The 20,417-nt window shown below is 47.0% G+C and overlaps 2 protein-coding genes across 20 annotated transcripts in view, besides 5 other annotated features; one reads left to right on the top strand and one right to left on the bottom strand.

The window, feature by feature from the left end:
- Positions 1–8,081, bottom strand: part of GGT7 (gamma-glutamyltransferase 7) — a 28,137-nt gene extending 20,056 nt beyond the window's left edge. For all 7 annotated transcript variants that reach the window (XR_001754240.2, NM_001351702.2, NM_178026.3 and 4 more), the window contains exon 1: positions 7,872–8,081. Coding sequence is in view for 6 of the 7 variants with exons in the window: in NM_001351702.2 (NP_001338631.1) it covers positions 7,872–8,040 (169 nt within the window). In the remaining variant the exon portion in view is untranslated. The remainder of the gene's footprint in view (positions 1–7,871) is intronic.
- Positions 7,963–8,252: a silencer, noted in NCBI's record as "silent region_12849". NCBI's record gives its function as "represses an Ori minimal core promoter by ATAC-STARR-seq in GM12878 lymphoblastoid cells {active_cell/tissue: GM12878}" and the evidence as "EXISTENCE:reporter gene assay evidence [ECO:0000049][PMID:35858748]".
- Positions 10,214–20,417, top strand: part of ACSS2 (acyl-CoA synthetase short chain family member 2) — a 52,971-nt gene continuing 42,767 nt past the window's right edge. For 8 of the 13 annotated variants that reach the window (XM_011528905.2, XM_011528906.2, XM_011528907.2 and 5 more), the window contains exons 1-2: positions 11,837–12,048; positions 18,019–18,214. In XM_011528905.2, the coding sequence (XP_011527207.1) occupies positions 11,871–12,048; positions 18,019–18,214 (374 nt within the window). In that variant the 5' untranslated portion in view covers positions 11,837–11,870. Of the gene's footprint in view, positions 10,363–11,836; positions 12,049–18,018; positions 18,215–20,417 lie in introns of those variants that run through there. The other 5 variants (XM_011528909.3, XM_011528911.2, XM_047440293.1 and 2 more) reach the window with 2 other exon arrangements.
- Positions 11,056–11,135: an enhancer, noted in NCBI's record as "active region_17768". NCBI's record gives its function as "activates an Ori minimal core promoter by ATAC-STARR-seq in GM12878 lymphoblastoid cells {active_cell/tissue: GM12878}" and the evidence as "EXISTENCE:reporter gene assay evidence [ECO:0000049][PMID:35858748]".
- Positions 11,156–11,205: an enhancer, noted in NCBI's record as "active region_17769". NCBI's record gives its function as "activates an Ori minimal core promoter by ATAC-STARR-seq in GM12878 lymphoblastoid cells {active_cell/tissue: GM12878}" and the evidence as "EXISTENCE:reporter gene assay evidence [ECO:0000049][PMID:35858748]".
- Positions 11,476–11,615: a silencer, noted in NCBI's record as "silent region_12850". NCBI's record gives its function as "represses an Ori minimal core promoter by ATAC-STARR-seq in GM12878 lymphoblastoid cells {active_cell/tissue: GM12878}" and the evidence as "EXISTENCE:reporter gene assay evidence [ECO:0000049][PMID:35858748]".
- Positions 11,696–12,125: a silencer, noted in NCBI's record as "silent region_12851". NCBI's record gives its function as "represses an Ori minimal core promoter by ATAC-STARR-seq in GM12878 lymphoblastoid cells {active_cell/tissue: GM12878}" and the evidence as "EXISTENCE:reporter gene assay evidence [ECO:0000049][PMID:35858748]".

Genomic DNA, 20,417 nt, shown 5'->3' on the forward strand with positions numbered 1-20,417 from the left:
GCTTGGGTTTTACCCTAAGGACTATGGGAGGTCACTACTCGAGAGGCTATTTTTGTTTGTTTTTGAGATGGAGTTTCGCTCTTGTTGCCCAGGCTGGAGTGCAATGGCACAATCCTGGCTCACTGCACCCTCCGCTTCCTGGGTTCAAGCGACTCTCTTGCCTCAGCCTCTCCAGTAGCTGTGATTACAGGCACATGCCACCATGCCTGAGTAATTTTGTATTTTTAGTAGAAACAGGGTTTCAGCATATTGGCCAGGCTGGTCTCGAACTCCTGACCCCAGGTGATCTACCTGCCTCAGCCTCCCAAAGTGCTGGGATTACAGGTGTGAGCCACCGCACCCAGCCCACTACTAGAGAGTTTTAAGCAAGAATGTGAAACCATCTGTTCTGTGTGTTATTGTTGTTGTTTGAGACAGGGTCTGGCTCTGTCACCCCAGCTGGAGTGCAGTGGCACCATCTCAGCTCACTGAAACCTCTGCCTCCCTGCAACCTCTGCCTCCCAGGCTCAAGCCATCCTCCCACCTCAGCTCAGCTTCCTGAGTAGTTGAGACTACAGGCATGCCCCACTACACCTGGCTAATTTTTGTATTTTTTGTAGAGATGGGATTTCGCCATGTTGCCCAGGCTGGTCTCAAACTCCTGACCTCAAGTGATCCACTCACCTCAGCCTCCCAAAGCGCTGGGATTACAGGCATGAGCCACTGCGCCCGGCCTGTTTTGTGTTTTAAAATGATCCCTCTGGCTACTGTCTGGAGACAAACTGGAGGACGATAAGAGTGGAGGTAGGAGAGAACTGAAAGCTCACTATTTGCTGGTGGCTATGGACAAGTCAGTCAAGTCATGCACCTCACCTTCCTCATTCTAGTAATGGAACTAATCCCTAACTGGTGGGATAGGGGTACAAGGATTCCATGAGGTGATGTGCACCCAGTGCACTGTAGGTACTCACTCCAAGTTATTTCTATTCCTTTTCCACCTTGACCAGGGCTGAGACCCTCTTCCATCCCATAGCTCCCTCCTCTGAGTGTTATTAGCTGTGAACCCAGGTCCCTAAATGGCCTAAAGGTCCTAGGTGTTTGTGAACAGTAAAGAAATAGTCTTTACTTTACCTTGACCTCATGCTGTACTCACAATATGTTTTTTAAAGTTTATTCATTCAATTTTTTTAGTACCTGCTACTATGCACTAGGACTATAACCCCTTTAAAAGTCTATGTGATAATATTAAAAACTGACCATTTTATTGTTCTGTTTAAAATACGTGGTTCACTGATGCCAACATAATAAACATCTAAGCTCCTTGTGGTGTTTAAAGACCTTCATGATCCACAGTCCCATCTTTTGTGTAAATAAGAAACCAAATATATAGATAAAATGATGATATATGCAAGAAATGTTTATAAATTATTACAGAAGTTACTCTTGGGAAAGGATACTGAAGATGGGAATGAGATGGGGTGGGAGTTTTTTTGGTTTGAAATTTTTACCACTTATATCTATTTCCTTTTTAGAAATCAATACATAAACCGGGAGTGCTCGTGCATGCCTGTAAGCCCAGCTATTCAGAAGGCTGAGGCAGGAGATCACTTGAGTCTAGAAGTTCAAAGCTGCAGTATGATTGCAATATGAATAGCCACTGCACTCCAGGCTGGGCAACATAGATAGACCCTGTCTCTAAAAAAAATTAACACATATATTTTGAAATGAAAAGGAAAAATTACAGGGAGATAGGAATGGGAAAGGGGACTTTTTTATTCTTCCTCACTATTGCTTTTTTTTTTTTTATCATGAACATGTAATTTTTGTTTTTGTTTTTGTTTTTGAGACAGAGTCTCACTCTGTCGCCCAGGCTGGAGTGCAGTGGCGCAATCTCGGCTCACTGCAACCTCCATCTCCCAGGTTCAAGTGATTCTCCTGCCTCAGTCTCCTGAGTAGCTGGGATTACAGGCACATGCCACCACGCCTAGCTAATTTTTTATATTTTTAGTAGAGGCAGGGTCTCACCATGTTGGCCAGTCTGGTCTTGAACTCCTGACCTCAGGTGATCTGCCTGCCTCAGCCTCCCAAAGTGTTGGGATTACAGGCATAAGCCACCGCACCCTGCTGTTTTTAAACTTTATTTTCAAAAAAAGGTTATCTTCTGAGACTCTCCCTCACTTCATAATGCTTGCCTCTAACCCTCAACATCAGCATCACAGAGTCTGTAAATAAAACTGGAATTCATCCAAACAAACAGACGTTAAACACCCACTGTAGGCACAGAACTCTCCTTGGCCCCTAGAAATGTCTTGTTGTTGTTGTTGTTGTTGTTGCTGTTGCTGTTGTTGTTAATAGAGACAAGGTCTTGCTATGTTCCCCAGGCTGTTCTCAAACTCCTGAGCTCAAACAATCATCCCGCCTCAGCCTCCCAAAGTGTTGGGATTACAGGCGTGAGCCACAGCACCCGGCATTAGAAGTTTCAAAAGAAGTGTGGGAAAGGGTTTTGAACTTATATTTATTGATGCTGACTACATATTAAGCATTTTACATATATTCCTTTATTGAAGTGTTCCCAAGACTTTATGAAATAAGTCCCACTCTCGCCACTTTACAGATGAGAAAACTAAGACCAAGAAAGGTGATATTGCCCATCTCAGGTCATAAAATGAGTAAGTGGGCCAGGTTTGGTGGCTCACGTCTGTAATCTCAGCACTTTGGGAGGCCGAGGTGGGAGGATTGTTTGAGCCCAGGTATTCAAGACCAGCCTGGGCAACATAGCAAGACTCCTGTCTCTACAAAAAAATTTTTTTAATTAGCCAGGAATGGTGGTGTGCACCTGTTGTCCCAACTACTCGAAAGGCTGAGGTAAGAGCATCACTTCAGCCTGGTAGTTCGAGGCTGCAGTGAGCCACTGCCCACCAGCCTGGGCGACAGGGTGAAACCCTATCTCAAAAAATTTAAAGTAAAATATAAAATAAAATAAAATGAATAAGTGGCAGGACCAAGAGTCTGTGTAACTAGAAAGCCTCCTTCCCATTGCTCCACATGGCATCAAGAGCCATTTCTACCCTCAGAAACCAACCTTACAAGCTAATTTTTGTTGCTATTTCTTGGTACTTATTGCTTTGTTTTTGAGAGATAATCTTCCTGCCAGGCTGGAATGCAGTGGCGCAATCTCGGCTCACTGCAACCTCCGCCTTTGGGTTCAAGCATTTCTCATGCCTCAGCCTCCCAAGAAGCTGGAATTATAGGCATGCACCACCATGCCCAGCTAATTTTTGTATTTTTAGTAGAGATGGGGCTTCACCATGTTGGCCATGAGGCTGGTCTCAAACTCCTGGCCTCAAGCAATCCGCCCGCCTTGGCCTCCCAAAGTGTTGGCATTACAGGCGTGAGCCACTGTGCCCGGCCCTAGGTATGGTTTAATTTGTTTTCTCCAGTCAGATATAAGGATCCAGGAGGTAAAGGTGACATGTCCCTATCATAGCTATTCAAGACTCTCTACTCCACCAGTCCATCATAAAGTTATTGATTTATACAATAAAAATATTTACTGAGTACCTACTATGTGCACTGTGGAACAGCTAGGGCAATAACAGTGTTGATTTTACTGATAGGGAAGAGCAACAGCAGGATACTGGAAAAAGATTAATTTGCAACCAGAAGGAATAAGTCTTTTGGGAGAAAGATGACAAGTTCAATTTTGGTTATTATAAATTTGTGGGACACCATAAGAAGCTGTCTGGAGGCAGTTGGCCTAGTAGATATCTAATTTTTACCTTCAGGGCTCATCCCTGGTATCTGCTTGGATACCACTTCTCATTCAATTTTCTTTTAAGGAACATTCTCTCTCCTCTCTCAGCCAACTCCCTCATCCCTGACCAAAGTATATAACTCAGACTTGGCCAGTCAGAACAGGTACCTCTGTGCAGTAACAGGCAATGTGAACAAAGCCAGGCCAATAAGACCCAAACTTTGTTATTTTGCTGGAACTACTGGGAAAGAGAAAGGCTCCTCTTTCTATTACACTTAAGTTGCTAAGTTGGTAGGATGTAAGCCTGTAGCTGCTGGGGGCATCTTGCCCCTAATAAAATGGGAGGCCTTCTGCCAATGAAGCCCACCAAAAGAAGGCAGAGCAAAAGATGGAGAAAAGTCCATTCCTTTTTAGGTACCTTAATCCAGCTATGCCTGAAACCCCATATCCCTGGACTTTTCAGTTATGCTACCCAGTAAAATTCTCTTTTTGGATGTAGCTCAGTTAAACTGGGTTTATAACAAAATAATCCTGAACAAAATTGATTATACAAGTCCAGAGTTTAGGAGAGTGATCTTGGCTAGAGGCTAGGGTCATCCCTGGCTTGTTGTTTATTCCCTTAAGGGGAGAATCACTAAAATAAATAAATAAATAAATATATATATATATAAAATTTTGAAACAGTGTCTCACTCTGTTGCCCAGGCTGGAGTACAGTGGTATAATCTCAGCTCACTGCAGCCTCAACCTTCAGGGCTCAAGCCATCTGCCCACCTCAGCCTCCCGAGTAGCTGGGACTACAGACAGGCATGCACCACCACACCTGGCTAATTTTTGTATTTTTTCTAGAGACAGGGTTTCACCATGTTGCCCCGGCTGGTTCTGAATTCCTGAGCTCAAGCAATCTGCCCACCTTAGCCTCCCAAAATGCTGGGATTACAGGTGTATGCCACTATGCCCGGCAGAATCACCAAAGATGTCTGAACCAGGGAGTGACATGACCAGAAGCGATGGATGGATTGGGGTGGGGACTGGGCAAGAGGGAGGAGGCAGGAGGAGTAGCTAGAAGCCTATAAATAATATTGATAAGAGAGGTTGGTGGCTTAGTCTACAGTGGTGATGACAGGGATGATGAGTAGGAATTTGGAAGATACTTAGGAGGGGTGCAGAGAGCACTTGATCACCATTTGGAAATGAGAAGAAAAGGAGGAGTCCAGCATGCCATTCATTATTGGGAGACTGGGTGACTGGCAGTGTCATTAATGGAGAATGGCAGTGGAGGAAGAGCAGGTGCATGGGGAAGGGATATGATGAGTTCAAAATAGAACATGCTATAGATGAGGCACTTGCAGGACATCTGGAGACACAGGCCTGGGAGAGAAAGGAACACAAGGGCTTGGAGCTCAGAAGAAAGAAAGTATTTCCCAACCTTGGAATGATCACTGTCTAGCTCTCTTTCCCACAGAGCCTGATGTGGGGTGCCTGGCACTTGGGTTTAGGGAATGGCAGGCTAGAGGCTAGCTGGGCACAACCAAGGTCCTGGCTAAGAGGATGGTGCTGTGCCACTAGATGGTACCACCAGGTTGAGAACACAGGAGGCCATGTCAGCCTGTAGTCTGGTCCAGGTGAACCGAGGAAGCCTTGGGGCTTGGAAGTAGGATTGGGAGATATGGCATTCAAATGATTACACTGAAATGATGGCAACACACAAACCTGACACATAAATTTGGCATAAGGTATAAACTCCCAGAAGCTCAGATGACTAGGATCTCTGCTGGATTTCCATACAGGGGTGAGGGCAGAGCCTGTATTGAACTTCCCAAAATACTCCCTGAGGTTTTGGAACTTGCTCTCTCCTACCATTCTTTCATCCTCTCTCCTACCATTCTTTCATCCTGAGATCTTCTCTCTCATGCATTTATTCATTCAACAATTATTGAGTGCCCAATAAATAAATAGAGATGAGGGTTTTTTTTGTTGTTGTTGTTTGTTTGTTTTTTTGAGACAGAGTCTCACTCTGTTGCCCAGGCTGGAGTGCAATGGCGCGATCTTCGCTCACTGCAACCTCTGCCTCAGCCTCCTGAGTAGCTGGGGTTACAGACACCTGCCACCAGGCCTGGCTAATTTTTTTTTTTTGTATTTTTAGTAGAGATGGGGTTTTGTCATGTTGGCCAGGCTGTTTTTGAACTCCTGACCTCAGGTGATCCACCCGCCTCAGCATCCCAAAGTGCTGGGATTACAGGTGTGAGCCACCACACCGGCCAGTGTATTTTGTTTTGTTTTTTGTTTTTTGTTTCTTTTTGAGACTGAGTCTCACTCTGTCACCCAGGCTGGAGTGCAGTGGAGTGATCTCGGCTCACTGTAACCTCTGCCTCCCCAGTTCGAGTGATTCTCCTGCCTCAGCCTCCCGAGTAGCTAGGATTACAGGCACCCACCACCATGCCCAGCTAATTTTTGTATTTTTAGTAGAGATGGGGTTTCACCATGTTGGCCAGGCAGGTCTTGAACTCCTGACCTCAAGTGATCCACCCACCTCAGGCATGAGCCACCGCGCCCGGCCTATGGATAAGGTCTTGATGCTGGAGAAAGGAGAGTGAACAAAACAATCATGATCCCTGCCCTCATGGGGCTTACAGACAGGGAGTAATCAGATAATTGCACAAATAAATAATCATAGATTTTGGTAAATGCTAAGACATTTACAGAGGGCCAGAAGAAAACATGTCAGGCAGTTCCAATCTCTAGGTCAAGAGAGACAGGCATTCTCTGTTGAGCTGGAAGAGGAAACTAAGGCCCAGGACAGGGTAGGTGTGCCTGTTGTCGCTTGGTGAGTCAGGGCTGTATTAGGACCAGAAGTCTCACTCCTGACTACTGAATAAAAGGCCTAGCTTCAGGCTGATATCCATCATGACACATCTTCCCACTCCTCTCCCTGCTACCTCCTGATTCCACTCCCTTTGGAAAATAAGTTTTGATCCGCAGCCCTGACATTTGACGCCCATAAACCTCTAAACTCCATCTTCATTATCTCCTCACCCCCACCCCATACAGAGTGCAGTCCAGTCAGGTTGGCAAGGGCTGCTGGTCAGGGCCAGATGACCAGAAAGTGTAGAGGAGGAGAGAATTTGGGGCTTTCAGGCTGGGAGCAGCTAGGGAAGGGCCAAGCCGGAAAAGCAGCATCTGCCAGGCTGGTAAGAGACAAGGCTCAAGTGCAGGCACTGCGAGGAAGCGAGAGTGAGGTAGAAGGATGCTCTAATGCCAGGAAGTGACGTGCAGGGACAGAGGGATGGGGGATGAAGGATGAAGAATGGAGGGGAGGATGAAGCTGGGCCACATGGCTAGGAGGAAGAGCAGCAGGGAAGGAATGCACAGAGAGCTCTTTGCCCCCAGGTCTCTTCCAATCCCTGTCTCCTCCTTCTCTTACCCCCACTTCTCACAATTCCAGCAGAGGGCTGAGGGGAACACAGTAAAATTCTGGAGACTGCTTCCTAGGGAGCAGAGTACCTTACTAATACCCCGGCCAGATCCATGGCTCAGGGAGGGGTGGGGTAATCCACAGGAGAGTGAAGGCGTTCTAGTCCCCAAGGACTTTTGAGAGGTCATGCAGTCCATGCCTCCGTCTCCCAACACCCAACAGAGGGGAATCATATTCTCTTTACCCCTCCCTAGACATGAAGAGATTCTCCGCTTCTCCCAGACCCTCTGCTTCTCACAATCCCTGGCTGTGGGGAACTTCTCTTAAGGCACAGATTGGATCCCTCTTGCTGCAGTCTCTGACTTGGTTTCTCCTATCCTGTCCTCTGTGGCTAGAGAAAGCCCTCTTCTGGGTGATCACAGCGGTTCCTTAGGATCTCCCCTTCAACATTCCTTCATCGTTAGTTGGTTCTTCCCAGAAGGTAAGCCCAATCCCTTCTACTGCAGTCCCTAGCATCCTCTCCGTTGTCGCATCCTACGCCTCCAAGGCAGAAATGCACCCCCTTCCTCACCAAATAATTAACAGAGACAAGGGAGAAGAAGGGAGAGATCCAAGAAGATGGGGATGAATTAAGGAGATGGAGCTGGAGGTGGATGCTTGACACAGAAGAAGGAAGACCGGGGACTTCCCAAGGCAGGGCAGGGACGGGGTCAGCGGGCCTCACCGGTGTCGGGGTCTCCCAGAAAGGCGTCCTCGTCCTTGCGGCCCCTCAGCGGGGCCGCGGGCGCCGGCTCGTCCTCGGGCAGCCGCGGGAAGCTGGTGATGCTCATGTAGTCCACTGGCGAGTAGGCGCCCAGGGCGCTCTCCTGGCTGGCCTCGTTCTCCGCCGCCATCCTCGCCCGCGCCCCCCAGCAGCGCAGCGCCTGCCGGAAGTGGCTGCGGCGGGGGAGTGGGAGGGCGGAGGGCGGGGCCTGATCTTCGCGACAGCCGGGAGGGGGCGCCTCTCCCAGCCCTCGGCCGTGTCCCGGTCTGACTCGCCCCCGTCTGCTCAGCGCTATCAGCCTGCAGCTGGCACACAGGTGCGTGTAGATGGACAGCCAGGAAGGCAGCGCAGGGTCGAGGGGAGAGCGCGGGGCAAGCGAGACTTCAGTGGCTCTGCACTTTACGCAGCTCAGGGACCAAACCCCTTCCTCCTTCCAGCCTGAATACAGCTAGTGTCCTCCTCAAATCCCAGGCTTCCTTTTCGGGCCCCAGACCCTTTCACTGACCGCAAATCCCTCTCGACCCCAGATCCTGTCTCTGACCCCAAACTCCTCGGACCCCAGACCCCTCCTTGAATTCCGAGATCCTCCTCCTCCGATTTTAGACTCCTCCTCCGACCTTAGACCTCTTTTTCGACTTCAGACTCTGTCTTCACCCCCAAACCCTTTTGAAAACCCCAGCCCATGCTTCATCTCCAGGCCTCTTTGACTGCAGACGCCTCTTTGGACAACAGATCCCTCCTCTGACCTCAGATCCCTTCCCGCACCCCGACACTTCTGACTCCTCTTTCAACCGCATTCTCAAACTTTAGTGTGTGTTAGGATCTTTGAAAGCGGATCCCCAGATTCCACTCCAGAGATCATGATTCAGTAGGCTGGGATGAGGTCCTTGGAACCTGAATATTTACCATCATTTTAAGAGTTTTTGATGTGGTTCTGGAAAGGACACTTTGAGAAAGAAGGAGTGGTGGTAGTGATGGTAGGGCAGGAGTGGGGCAAGGTGGGGAATAGGTCTCCATATTCTGGATGTCTGGGTTCTATTCTGCCACCGCTCAAACACTGTGTAATCTTGGGCAAGACAATTAGTCTCTCTATCAGTTTCCCCATCTGTGAAATGGAAAGAATAATAGTACCCATTTTAGAGGGTTGTCATGAGGATTAAGTAACAGAATGGAAAGCGATTAGTATAGGGCTTGGCACCTACTCAATAAATGGCATCATCATCATCATCATCATTGCCTTAATCTGGTAGATTCATTCCCTCCAAACTCATCCATCCTCTCTCCACTCCAAAATTCCAACCACACTACAGCTTGTACTACTTCTCCATATCCAAGGATGAGGGAGGTTCCTTCTTTTACGAGGTCTCTGTTCCAAACTTTCATTGTGAAGTCCACAGGAAGAGAGGGGGGCTGGTGAAGCCTCTATACACACATCCTTTCTCTTCCCAACCCCAGACCAGTCTCAGGGATGGCCTGAAGTGCTTGAAAAATCTACTATATACACAGCAGCTGCAGTAGCAACTATAGACAGGAGGGGGAAGCAGTGTGTCGGGAACAGCTCTGGGGTTTGGGTGTAGGACTTGGGAGAGAGGATAGGAAGGAGAGGGCTACTCAGAGCTGTGTGGTAAGAGTGCCCAGGGAGGGTAACAGTCTATCACCAAAAAGTGTACCCATTGTCTGTGCCTTTCCCCACCCCAGAGAGTTCTTATCTCCTCAGTGATGTTTGTAGGGTCTATTACACTACCCTGAGGTCTAATCCCTCTGGTGGGACCCTTCCCCACTTGATGAGGTCTGCACCTTCTCAGTGATGTCCACTCCCACAGTGTAGTTGGCAGCTCCTCACTGGAGTTTGAGTCCTCTGGTAGGGTCCACGTCTCCTTAGTAAAGTCTATATCCTCTGTATCTCTTAGGGGAAATCCATGTCTCCTCACTAGGGTAAGTGCCCTTCAAAGCCATTCATGTCCTATTAGCAGGGCCCAGGGCCCTTCAGTCAGATCTGAGAACCCCCAGCAACATCTGTGCTCCCTTAGTGGAGTCCATGTACTGTCAGTGAAGTGTGTGTCCCTTCGGTGCAGTGAATATCTCCTTTATGAAAGTATCTGACCCCTTGGTGGGGTCTATGTCCACCCCAAGAGGTCTGTACTCCTTCAGTGGGCCCTCAGATTCCCGCCCTCCTTGGGATTGGGCAGACTCTCGGTCTCCCATAGAGAGATTTTTTTTCAGCTTAGGGTGTGCAAGGTTTACAGTCAGCTGGGCAAAGTGCAGGGAAGTAGCTGGGAAGGGAGGCTGGGCTAGATGGGGTCACAAGGCCTGTGTAGGCTTCAGGAGGTGGGAGCTGCCCGCTTCAGGCCTCAGAATCACTCTTGGAGTTAGATATTTAAGAATCCTTCCTGCCTTGACAGCCAGTCTGTGAAATGATGGTGAGGTGGGCACTTCTTTGTGGTGAGTGCAGGTGAGAGATGGAGGAGGGTCCTGCCTGACTTCTTTCTGGGGTGGAGGGGCTAGAGAGAAGCTAGAGGTAATTAAGCCCAGGTTGTGGTGGTGGTGGTGGGGGTTTCCCTTGGTGGAGTAAAGAGATTGTGAAGGAAAGAAGAGAATGTGGGCCAGGTGTGGTGGCTCACGCCTGTAATCCTAGCACTTTGGGAGCCCAAGGCGGGCAGATCACCTGAGGTCAGGAGTTCAAGACCAGCCTGGACAACATGGTGAAATCCCATCTCTACTAAAAATACAAAAATTAGCTGGGTGTGGTGGTGTGCACCTGTAATTCCAGCTACTCGGGAGGCTGAGGCAGGAGAATTGCTTGAATCCAGGAGGCAGAGGTTGCAGTCAGCCGAGATTGTGCCATTGCACTCCAGCCTGGGCGACAGAGCGAGAGACTCCATCTCAAAACAAAAACAACAACAAAAAAAGAGAATGTGAATGATTTTTCCTATTTGCACAGACTTTGATATTTTACAAGCCTTAGCTTCAAGCCTGACGAGGAAGTAAAACCAAATCTGGAGTCAAAGAACCTAGCTTTGGCCCTAACTTGGTCGTTATTTGCTCTCTGACTGTGCACCAGTTCCTTCCCTTTCCTGGGTTTGCCATTTGTGCAATTAGGAGGTGGGCTTATTACAAAAAACCTGAAGGTGTCTCCTAGTCTTCACTTATTGAGTCTTGTACTTTAGATCTGGATGGAGATTTGTGAAGGCAAGGAGATTGAAGACATGTCCTCATAAGAGGGAGAAAATCTGAGCTGGTTCCAGGGTGAGCAGAGAGGAGGTGCTGTCGCCAGAGCATGCCCTCAAGGTCATGGGAGAAGTTTTTCCGGAGGACGAGAATGTGGGTGTGGCTCAGAGAGGGGGGACCTGGAGGGAAGGGTGTCACCTGGAAGGAACTGGTGATAGTCAGGACTGTGCAATCAGATCACGGGGCGGCTCCGCGATGGACCTTACTCAACTCCTCTCCTTAGTCCATCCCTTTCCCTTTCGATCCTTGCCTTAACCCAACCCCTTATCTGTCACTCCAAGACCCCACCCCACTCTGGTCACTCCATGGCTCTGCCTCCTCTCCTGTCACAACCAGCCGGGTTACTCCCCATCACTCCATGGGCCCACCTCCTCTCCTGTCCCGCCTGGCCCCGCCCCTCCCTTGGCACTCCACGGTTCCACCCTCTCCCTTGTCACACCCGGCCCCGCCCCTTCTGCTTTCACTCGACGGCGTCACTCCTTCCGGCAAGTCAGCTCCACCCCTATCCCTCGACTTTTCCTTATAGTATTTCTGTCCTTGCCAACCTCGATCCCTCCCCAACCAGACACGGCCCCGCCCCCTCTGGCACCGCCCACCCGCCAGACTAAGCCACTCCCCCACTCACCAGGCCCCGCCCCTCTACGGAGGCCCCGCCTCTAGTTCGGCCTGTTTTCTCAGTCCCGGCACCCGCCGCGACCGCAAAGGCGGCCGCGGTTCTAGGAACTTGACGTGATGGGGCTTCCTGAGGAGCGGGTCCGGAGCGGCAGCGGGAGCCGGGGCCAGGAGGAAGCTGGAGCCGGAGGCCGGGCGCGGAGTTGGTCTCCGCCGCCCGAGGTCAGCCGCTCCGCGCACGTCCCCTCGCTGCAGCGCTACCGCGAGCTGCACCGGCGCTCCGTGGAGGAGCCGCGGGGTGAGGCCCGGCCCGGGCGGGCCTGGGGTGTCAGTGAGGAGAAGAGTGGGGGCTCCCTGGGGGAGTCGGGGGCTCCCTTGGGAAGCTGAGGGGTGGGTGAGGAGATGGAGGTTCTGTGAAGGAAGAATTGCGGTTCTTTGAAAATGGAAAAGGGATTCCGGGAGGAGACGAGGGTTCCATGGGAGCTGGGGAGTTCCCTGCAGACTTGGAGGGTCCGTGGTGGAGATGCGGGTTTTTGCGAGGAGACGCGGGATTCCGTGAGGGAAGAAGTGAGGTTCCTTGAGATTGGGACGGGGAGGTCGGCCAAGAGAGTGAAAGTTTCATGGGAAGAGAAGGGGAGTTCCTGAGGCGAAAAGAGGGTCTCTAAGGGGCGACGGGAGCCTTGAAGGGAGGAGGGCCACGAATAGAACTTTCTTTGCTTCCCTTTCACACCAGCTCAGCCACTGCCTCCTGAGACCCTTAACCTGTGAACTGTTGAGGGCAATAACGGGTCTGGTTCCCATCTTGGGGTCCTCAGATTAGTAATGGAGTCCCCGATCTATTTTTAGTATATCGGACATCCTAATGGAAATTACGCGGTATAAGACTGAACGAGTTACTACGATGTCAAGTTGTTTTATTTATTTTTTTAACTTGGGCTGGGATTGTATTAGTAATAGTTCAGAAGTTCTGATAGATGGTTCCATGTCTGTTAAAATGTATGAGGAAAATCGGCCAGGAGCAGTGGCTCACGCCTGTAATCCCAGCACTTTGGGAGGCCGAGGCGGGCGGATCACTTGAGGTCAGGAGTTCGAGACCAGCCTGGCCAACATGGTGAAACCCCCGTCTCCACTAAAAATACAAAAATTAGCCGGGTGTGGTGGCGGGCACCTGTAATCCCAGCTACTCGAGAGGCTGAGACAGGAGAATTGCTTGAACCCAGGAGGCAGAGGTTGCAGTGAGCCACGATAGCACCACTGCACTCCAGCCTGGGCGACAGAGCAAGACTTTGTCTCAAAAAAAAAAAAAAAAAAAAAAAAAAAAAAAGGTATAAGGAAAATCCCCCTACCCTTGCCCTCAGTCTGGGTAAAGGACAGATAGATAGACAGATAGATAGATAGATAGATAGATAGATAGATAGTTTGTTTTGAGACAAGGTGTTGCTCTGTCACCCATGCTGGAGTGCAGTGGCCCGTTCTAGGCTCACTATAGCCTGCATCTCCTGGGCTCATGCGATCTTTCCGCTTCAGCCTCCTGGGTAGCTGGGACTACAGGCGGACGCCATGACACCCAGCTACTTTTTTGTATTTTTTGGAGAGACGAGGTTTTGCCATGTTGCCCAGGCTGGTCTTGAACTCCTGGCCTCAGGCTTTCCTCCTTACTTGGCCTCCCAAAGTGCTGTGATTACATGTGCATGAGCTACTGCGCCTAGCCAAGGAGTCAAAATTGCACCCCCATTGGGAGGCAGCATGATGTTTGGTTGTGGGACAAACATGGGCCACGAATCAAATCCAGAAAAATCTAGATTTAGACCCTGGCTCTGCTGTTCATTTACTGTGGGGTCTTAGGCAAATTTTTAAGCCTGTCTGAGATTCCTTTTCTTCCATCTATAAGATAGGTCTAGTAATACTTGCCTAATGGGTTTGTATGAGGTCTAAAGTGTGTAATAAGTATGCGCTATAACATGCCTGATGCACAGTACACATTCAATAAATAGTAGTTAGTCTGATACAATATAAATCAAGCAATTACCAAGTAATGCAAGACAGGATTCAATCAAGTGTAAAGTGGTGGAGTTGGGATTTGAACCAAGACAGTTTGACTGCAGAATCCATATCCTAATAGCAATGCTATTCCTCTTCCATGACCCCACAGAATGCATTTCACCAAATTCCATCAAATACAGAATTTCTACCAGGGAAGCAGCCTCCTAATTTGTCCTCTCTTGCCTAGTTTCGCCAACTTGAGTCTTTCCAGTAGATTTATCAAGACACCATTAGATTGATATTATGGAAATATGCTTTCATATGTCACTGCAAAAACTTTCAATGGTTCCCTGTTTCTGGCAGTTTCTAATTAAAATTCTGCTTTTCTTTTTTTTTTTTTTTTCTTTTTTTTTTGAGACGGAGTCTCGCTCTGTCGCCCAGGCTGGAGTGCAGTGGCGCGATCTCGGCTCACTGCAAGCTCCGCCTCCCGGGTTCACGCCATTCTCCTGCCTCAGCCTCCCGAGTAGCTGGGACTACAGGCGCCCGCTACCACGCCCGGCTAATTTTTTGTATTTTTAGTAGAGACGGGCTTTCACCGTGTTAGCCAGGATGGTCTCGATCTCCTGACCTCGTGATCCGCCCGCCTCGGCCTCCCAAAGTGCTGGGATTACAGGCGTGAGCCACCGCGCCCGGCCTCTGCTTTTCTTTTAAGACCTCCAGATAATCTAGCTCCACCCTGCCTCTCTATTCTTATCTCCCACTACTTGCTACCACTCCCCTCATTCTAGATAGATCATTCTCCTTGATATCCTGGATACACATTTATTCCCACCTTCTTGCCTTTGTTCATTTCCTTCTGCTTCTCTCTACCTAGTCAAACTCCACCACTTCCAATAGAGCATTCACTGATCATCCCAATTTATGCTCACCTTTTTCCTCTTCTGAATATCTTTAGTACTTAGAAACTATGCCACTCATCCAGATTCTGACACACACACACACACACACACACACACACACCCCTACCCCCCCCAAAAAAACCCAGAAAAACTAAGTGTGCATAAAATTCAGTTTTGTAGCCAAACATGGTGACGCACGTCTGTAATCCTGCTACTCAGGAGGCTAAGGCACGAGAATTGCTTGAACCCGGGAGACGGAGATTGCAGTGAGCCAAGATTGTGCCACTGCACTCCAGCCTGGGCGACACAGCGATACCCTGTCTCAAAACAAAAACAAAAACACCTCAGCTTTCTTCATTCTTTGTTGATGGACATAAATGTGGTTTATAAATAGTTTTATATACTATATGCCTACTATTATCACTTGAAAATATTTTTGAGTATTTGTACTCTCGTTATTAGCTGCGTGGTCCTTGGCAGAGTTTCCTGTGCTTCCTGAGCTTCAGTTTTCTCATCTATAAAATTAGGATAATTAATGTATACTTTGTAAGACCATAATGTCATAAAGATTAAATGAGATTAGTCCAGTCCCTGATACATGAATGGCATTTACTAAATACTAGCTCTCATTTGCTTTCTCTTTAATGGCCATTTATTATTCTATGGTATTACTACTTGTATTACTAGTTTTCATCAGTTTGTTATTGTTGGGCTATTGGGTTGTTTCCAGTTTCACTATTATAGTGTTGCTATAAACATCTCTTTACTAATCACTTTTTTTCTTTGTGATTATTTTCTTGAAGTCTATTCCCTATAGTTGAGATAGCAGAGAAAAGGGTATAAAAAGTTTTATGGGCTGGGCGTGGTGGCCCACACCTATAATCCCAGCATCCTTTGGGAGGGCAAGGTGGGCTCCCAAAGCTTGAGCTTAGGAGTTTAAGAACAGCCTGGGTAATATGGCCAAACCCTGTTTCTACAAAACAAACAAACAATGTGCGCCTGTAGTTCCAGCTACTGGTGGGGGAGGGGGTACAGCTGAGATGGGGGGATCACTTGAGCCAGGGAGATGGAGGTTACAGTGAGCTGAGATCATGCTACTGCACTCCAGCCTGGGTGACAAAGAGCGAGACACCGAGCTAAAAAAATAATAATAATAGAAATTAAAAAAAAAAAGTTTTATGGCTCTTGTCATGCATTGCCTTGCAATCTAATAAGACTGCGCCAATTTCTTACAATGCCATTATTGTGTAAGAGTATCTGTTTTCCCAGGGCCACCCAGACATTGGGCTTAATAATTTTTTTAAATTTTTACTAGTTTTCTAGGTATATAATGGCACCTTGGGGTTGATTTAATTTGGATTTCTTTAATACATTACAACGTTGTACACTATGTGATTTAGCTTTCAATTATATTCTGTCTTGTACATTAAAAAATATTTCATGTGTTAATCTTATCTCTCCAACTAGATTGTATAAGCTCTAAATTGTGTAACCTGAAACAAATGACTTAGCTTCTATGAATTTTATTTCTTATGAAATGAAATGAGGGGGTGATAATCTGTAAGGTTACTTCCATTGTTACGGTTCTAATTGCTTCTCTTTCCTCCAAATTTTTTTTTTTTTTTTTTTTTTTTTTTGAGATAGAGTCTTGTTCTGTTGCCTAGGCTGGAGTACAGTGGTGCAATCTCAACTCACTGCAACCTCCACCTCCCAGGTTCAGGCGATTCTCCTGCCTCACGCTCCTGAGTAGCTAGGAATACAAGCACCCGCTACCACACCTGGCAATTTTTTTTTTTTTTTTGTATTTTTAGTAGAGACAGGATTTCACCATGTTGGTCAGGCTGGTCTCGAACTCCTGATTTCAGGTGATCCGCCCGCCTTGGCCTCCCAAAGTGCTAGGATTACAGGAGTGAGCCACAGTGCCTGGCATCCTCTAACTCTTGATTCAGTACTCAGACTATCCTAAATTCTCTGCATTCATATGTTTTACCTGTTGAGTACATTTTCTGCAGAATAGCCAGGCAGATATTTTAAGAATGTAAATTTGATCATGTTACTTGCTTAAAACCCTTCAATGAATTTTCATTGCTCTTGGGATATATACCAAATTCCTTATTATACACAGAATTGCATGATTTGCCCAGTTTATGCATCAATTCCTGCTATTCTTTCCCTTATTCTCAGTGTTTCAGCCTCAAGGAGTTCCTCCTAACATATGCCCTTGGTCTCTTTTTTTCATATGGGAGTGGAGAAAAACTTCTATTCATCTTTCAGATTTTAGCAAAAATGTCTCAAGGAAGTTTAGATCTTGACTTAGTAATTGTGTAACCTTAGACAAGTTATTTAACCTCTCTGAGCCTTGATTTTCAAGTTTATAAAATGAGAAAAGCCTCCCTTCTAGAGTTGTGGTAAGGATTAAATGAGATAATACATATGAAAAGCTTAAAGAAACATTTGGCACATAGTGAATAACACTTATATAAGTAGAAGCTGGAGAAGGAGATGCTCAATATATAATTGCTGAGAGAGAATGCACGAATTAAGAGAAGAAAGAGTTGGTCATGGAAGGTTCTGTGGGTGAAGAATTTTTTCTTTTTACTAATTACTTCATTAAAAAATTTACTTTCTAGTTAGACAGATGGTGAAAAAAATTGTACCTGATTTCAGCAGAACTCGGTGTGTACCTATAATCCCAGCTTCTTGGGAGGCTGAGGCAGGAGGACAGCTGAGTCCAGGAGTTTAAGACAAGCCTGGGCAACAGCAACAAAAAATTACTGATTGCCTATTTTGTGCTAGGCATTGTGCTAGTACTAGGTGGCTCTGATTTTAATAGATGGTAAAAAGTGAGTAGGCAGTCTTGAGGACAGGAGGAAGAATTTGAGTCAAGATTCAGCCCAAGAGAATAGAAGATGGGTTAGAAGAGTGTTGGCTGCTGGCCGGGCGCGGTGGCTCAAGCCTGTAATCCCAGCACTTTGGGAGTCCGAGGCGGGCGGATCACGAGGTCAGGAGTTCGAGACCAGCCTGGCCAACATAGTGAAACCCCGTCTCTACTAAAAATACAAAAATTAGCCAGGCGTGGTGGCACGCGCCTGTAGTCCCAGCTACTCGGGAGGCTGAGGCAGGAGAATTGCTTCAACCGGGGAGGCAGAGGTTGTGGTGAGCCGAGATCATGCCACTGCACTCCAGCCTAGGTGTCACAGTGAGCCTCCATCTCCAAAAAAAAAAAAGTGGTGGGTGCTAAGATTAGACAGGTAAAGAAGGGACCCAGGTGGTGGGTCCTAGGGCAAGGAAGTTATAATTTGGTCCTGTGTATAGACTGGTAAGCCTTCTGAGGCTAAATATGTCTCAGAAGATTAATGATATCTGGGCTTCCATTTCTGTTGCAGAATTCTGGGGAGACATTGCCAAGGAATTTTACTGGAAGACTCCATGCCCTGGCCCATTCCTTCGGTACAACTTTGATGTGACTAAAGGGAAAATCTTCATTGAGTGGATGAAAGGAGCAACTACCAACATCTGCTACAATGTACTGGATCGAAATGTCCATGAGAAAAAGCTTGGAGATAAAGTTGCTTTTTACTGGTAAAAATATCTATCTTATACTTGGTGGCAGATAAAAACACTCATTTGATACTTACAACAACCCAGTAGAGTAAGCAAAGTGTCATCAACTTAATGCCTCAGGTGAGGAAAAATACCTCAAGGAAGCTACATGACTTCCTTCAGATCACATAACTAGTATGTGACAGAGCTGACATTCAAAGCCAAGTGTCCTGACTTCTAGTCTAGTGTTCTTGGCTTTGTAGTTGAAGAGGGAGAAAGGGCATTGGCAAATGGAAGAGAACAAGACTGAGTAGCTTTCTTCCTCATTCTTGCTTTGGAAGACAAATAGTATTGGGTTTTTCACCACCACTACTACCACTACCATTATCATTATCTTTTACAGAGCTGTGTGCCAGAAACTATGCTTAAGTGCTTAACAAATACTATCTCCTTTGATGCTTATAATAATTATGAAAGCACTATTTGTTTTCCTCATTTTACATAGGTGAAAACTGAAATTCTGAGAAGTCAAGTGACATATCTGAAGTGAAACAACTAGCTAGAAGCAAGGCTGAGATTCAAACCTAGGCAGTATAATTACAGAGCTTACACACAACCATGACACTCTATTATTCCTCTAATTCCTTACCTTGGCCTCTCAACAGGTTTGTAAAATAGGAATTCTTAGTTTCATTTTATAGGTGAACAAATGAAGCATTGAAGGGTTATGTAGTGAATAAGGTCATAGAGTGAATAAGTGGTAGAGCCAGGATTCAAATTCAAGTCTGCCTGACTCCTTGCTTGTACCACTAGGCCATGCAGCCTCCCCAGCAGGAAATTTCTAAGACTGCTTCTCCCAGGAATTTAGCTGTCTAGGAGATACTACTATACCGAATCCAAATAGGACTTAGAAATTCCAATAATTGGGGTGTTGCTTCTGCCACAATCTATGAGCACTCAGAGTTGATCTATTGTTTTTGTATTGTTTTGTTTTGTTTTGTTTTTTTGGAGACAGGATCTTGCTCTGTTGCCCAGCCTGGAGAGCAGCGGCATGATCTTGGCTTACTGCAACCTCTGCCCTGCCTCCCCTGCTCAAGCAATCCTGCCACCTCAGCCTCCTGAGTAGGTGGGACTACAGACATGCACCACCACGTTTGGCTAATTTTTGTATTTTGTATTTAGTATTTTTTGTAATGATGGGGTTTCACCATGTTGCCCAGGCTGTTCTCAAACTCCTGAACTCAAGCGATCCACCTGTCTTGGCCTCCCAAAGTGCTGGGATTAGTGTGAGCCACCATGTCTGGCCTGATTAATTATTTAAGCTAGCCAATAGGAGCAGCTTGGATGCTTCATGGGAGAGTTAAATTGAAACTCACTCAATATCTTTGCCCAGTTTGTGTGATATATTGAGAAGAGCCTTAACCTGAGAGACAAGAAATTTAGGTTCTCCTTTCAACTCTGCCATTAACATGTTATATAACCACAGACAAGGCATTTAACTAAGAGTCAGTTTCCTCTTCCATAAAATGGGGATAATAATTCTATCCTTGTTTTTCTCTCTAGATTGTTGTAAGAATCAAATGAGATAACGTTGTAAAAGCACTTATTTGTTTATTGGAAAACACTGTATAGGTGTGAGTGGTCTATTATTATACTACCATTGCTTAGTTGGGGGCCAGTTTGTCACTGAAATTCACTGTCCATTGTGTCTGTTGAGACTCTCTTTAGCTTCTGCTCTAGAGCTTTATGCTTGAGCTCCAGCCAACACTTGGGCTCATTTCCCAGGCTCTTTAAAGATCAGAAAACCTTTAAAGATCTTCAAAGGAGGCCGGGCATGGTGGCTCATGCCTGTAATCCCAGCACTTTGGGAGGCTGAGGCAAGAGGGTTGCTTGAGCTTAGGAGTTTGAGACCAGCCTGGGCAACACAGTGAGACCCCCATCTCTATTTCACAAAAAAGAAAGAAATAGGCTGGGCATGGTGCCTCATGCCTGTAATCCCAGCACTTTGGGAGACCAAGGCAGGTGGATTGCTTGAGCTCAAGAGTTCGAGACCAGCCTGGGCAACATGGCAAAACTCCCTCTCTACATAAAAGACAAAAATTAGCTGGGCATGGTGGTGCACGCCTGTAGTCCCACCTACTTGAAAGGCTGTGGTGGGAGGATTGCTTGAGCCCAGGAGGCGGAGGTTGCAGTGAGCACAGATCACACCACTGTACTCCAGCCTGGGCAACAGAGCAAGACC

The sequence above is a fragment of the Homo sapiens genome, chromosome 20 (genome assembly GCF_000001405.40).
Source record: "Homo sapiens chromosome 20, GRCh38.p14 Primary Assembly".
NCBI classification, from domain to species: domain Eukaryota; kingdom Metazoa; phylum Chordata; class Mammalia; order Primates; family Hominidae; genus Homo; species Homo sapiens.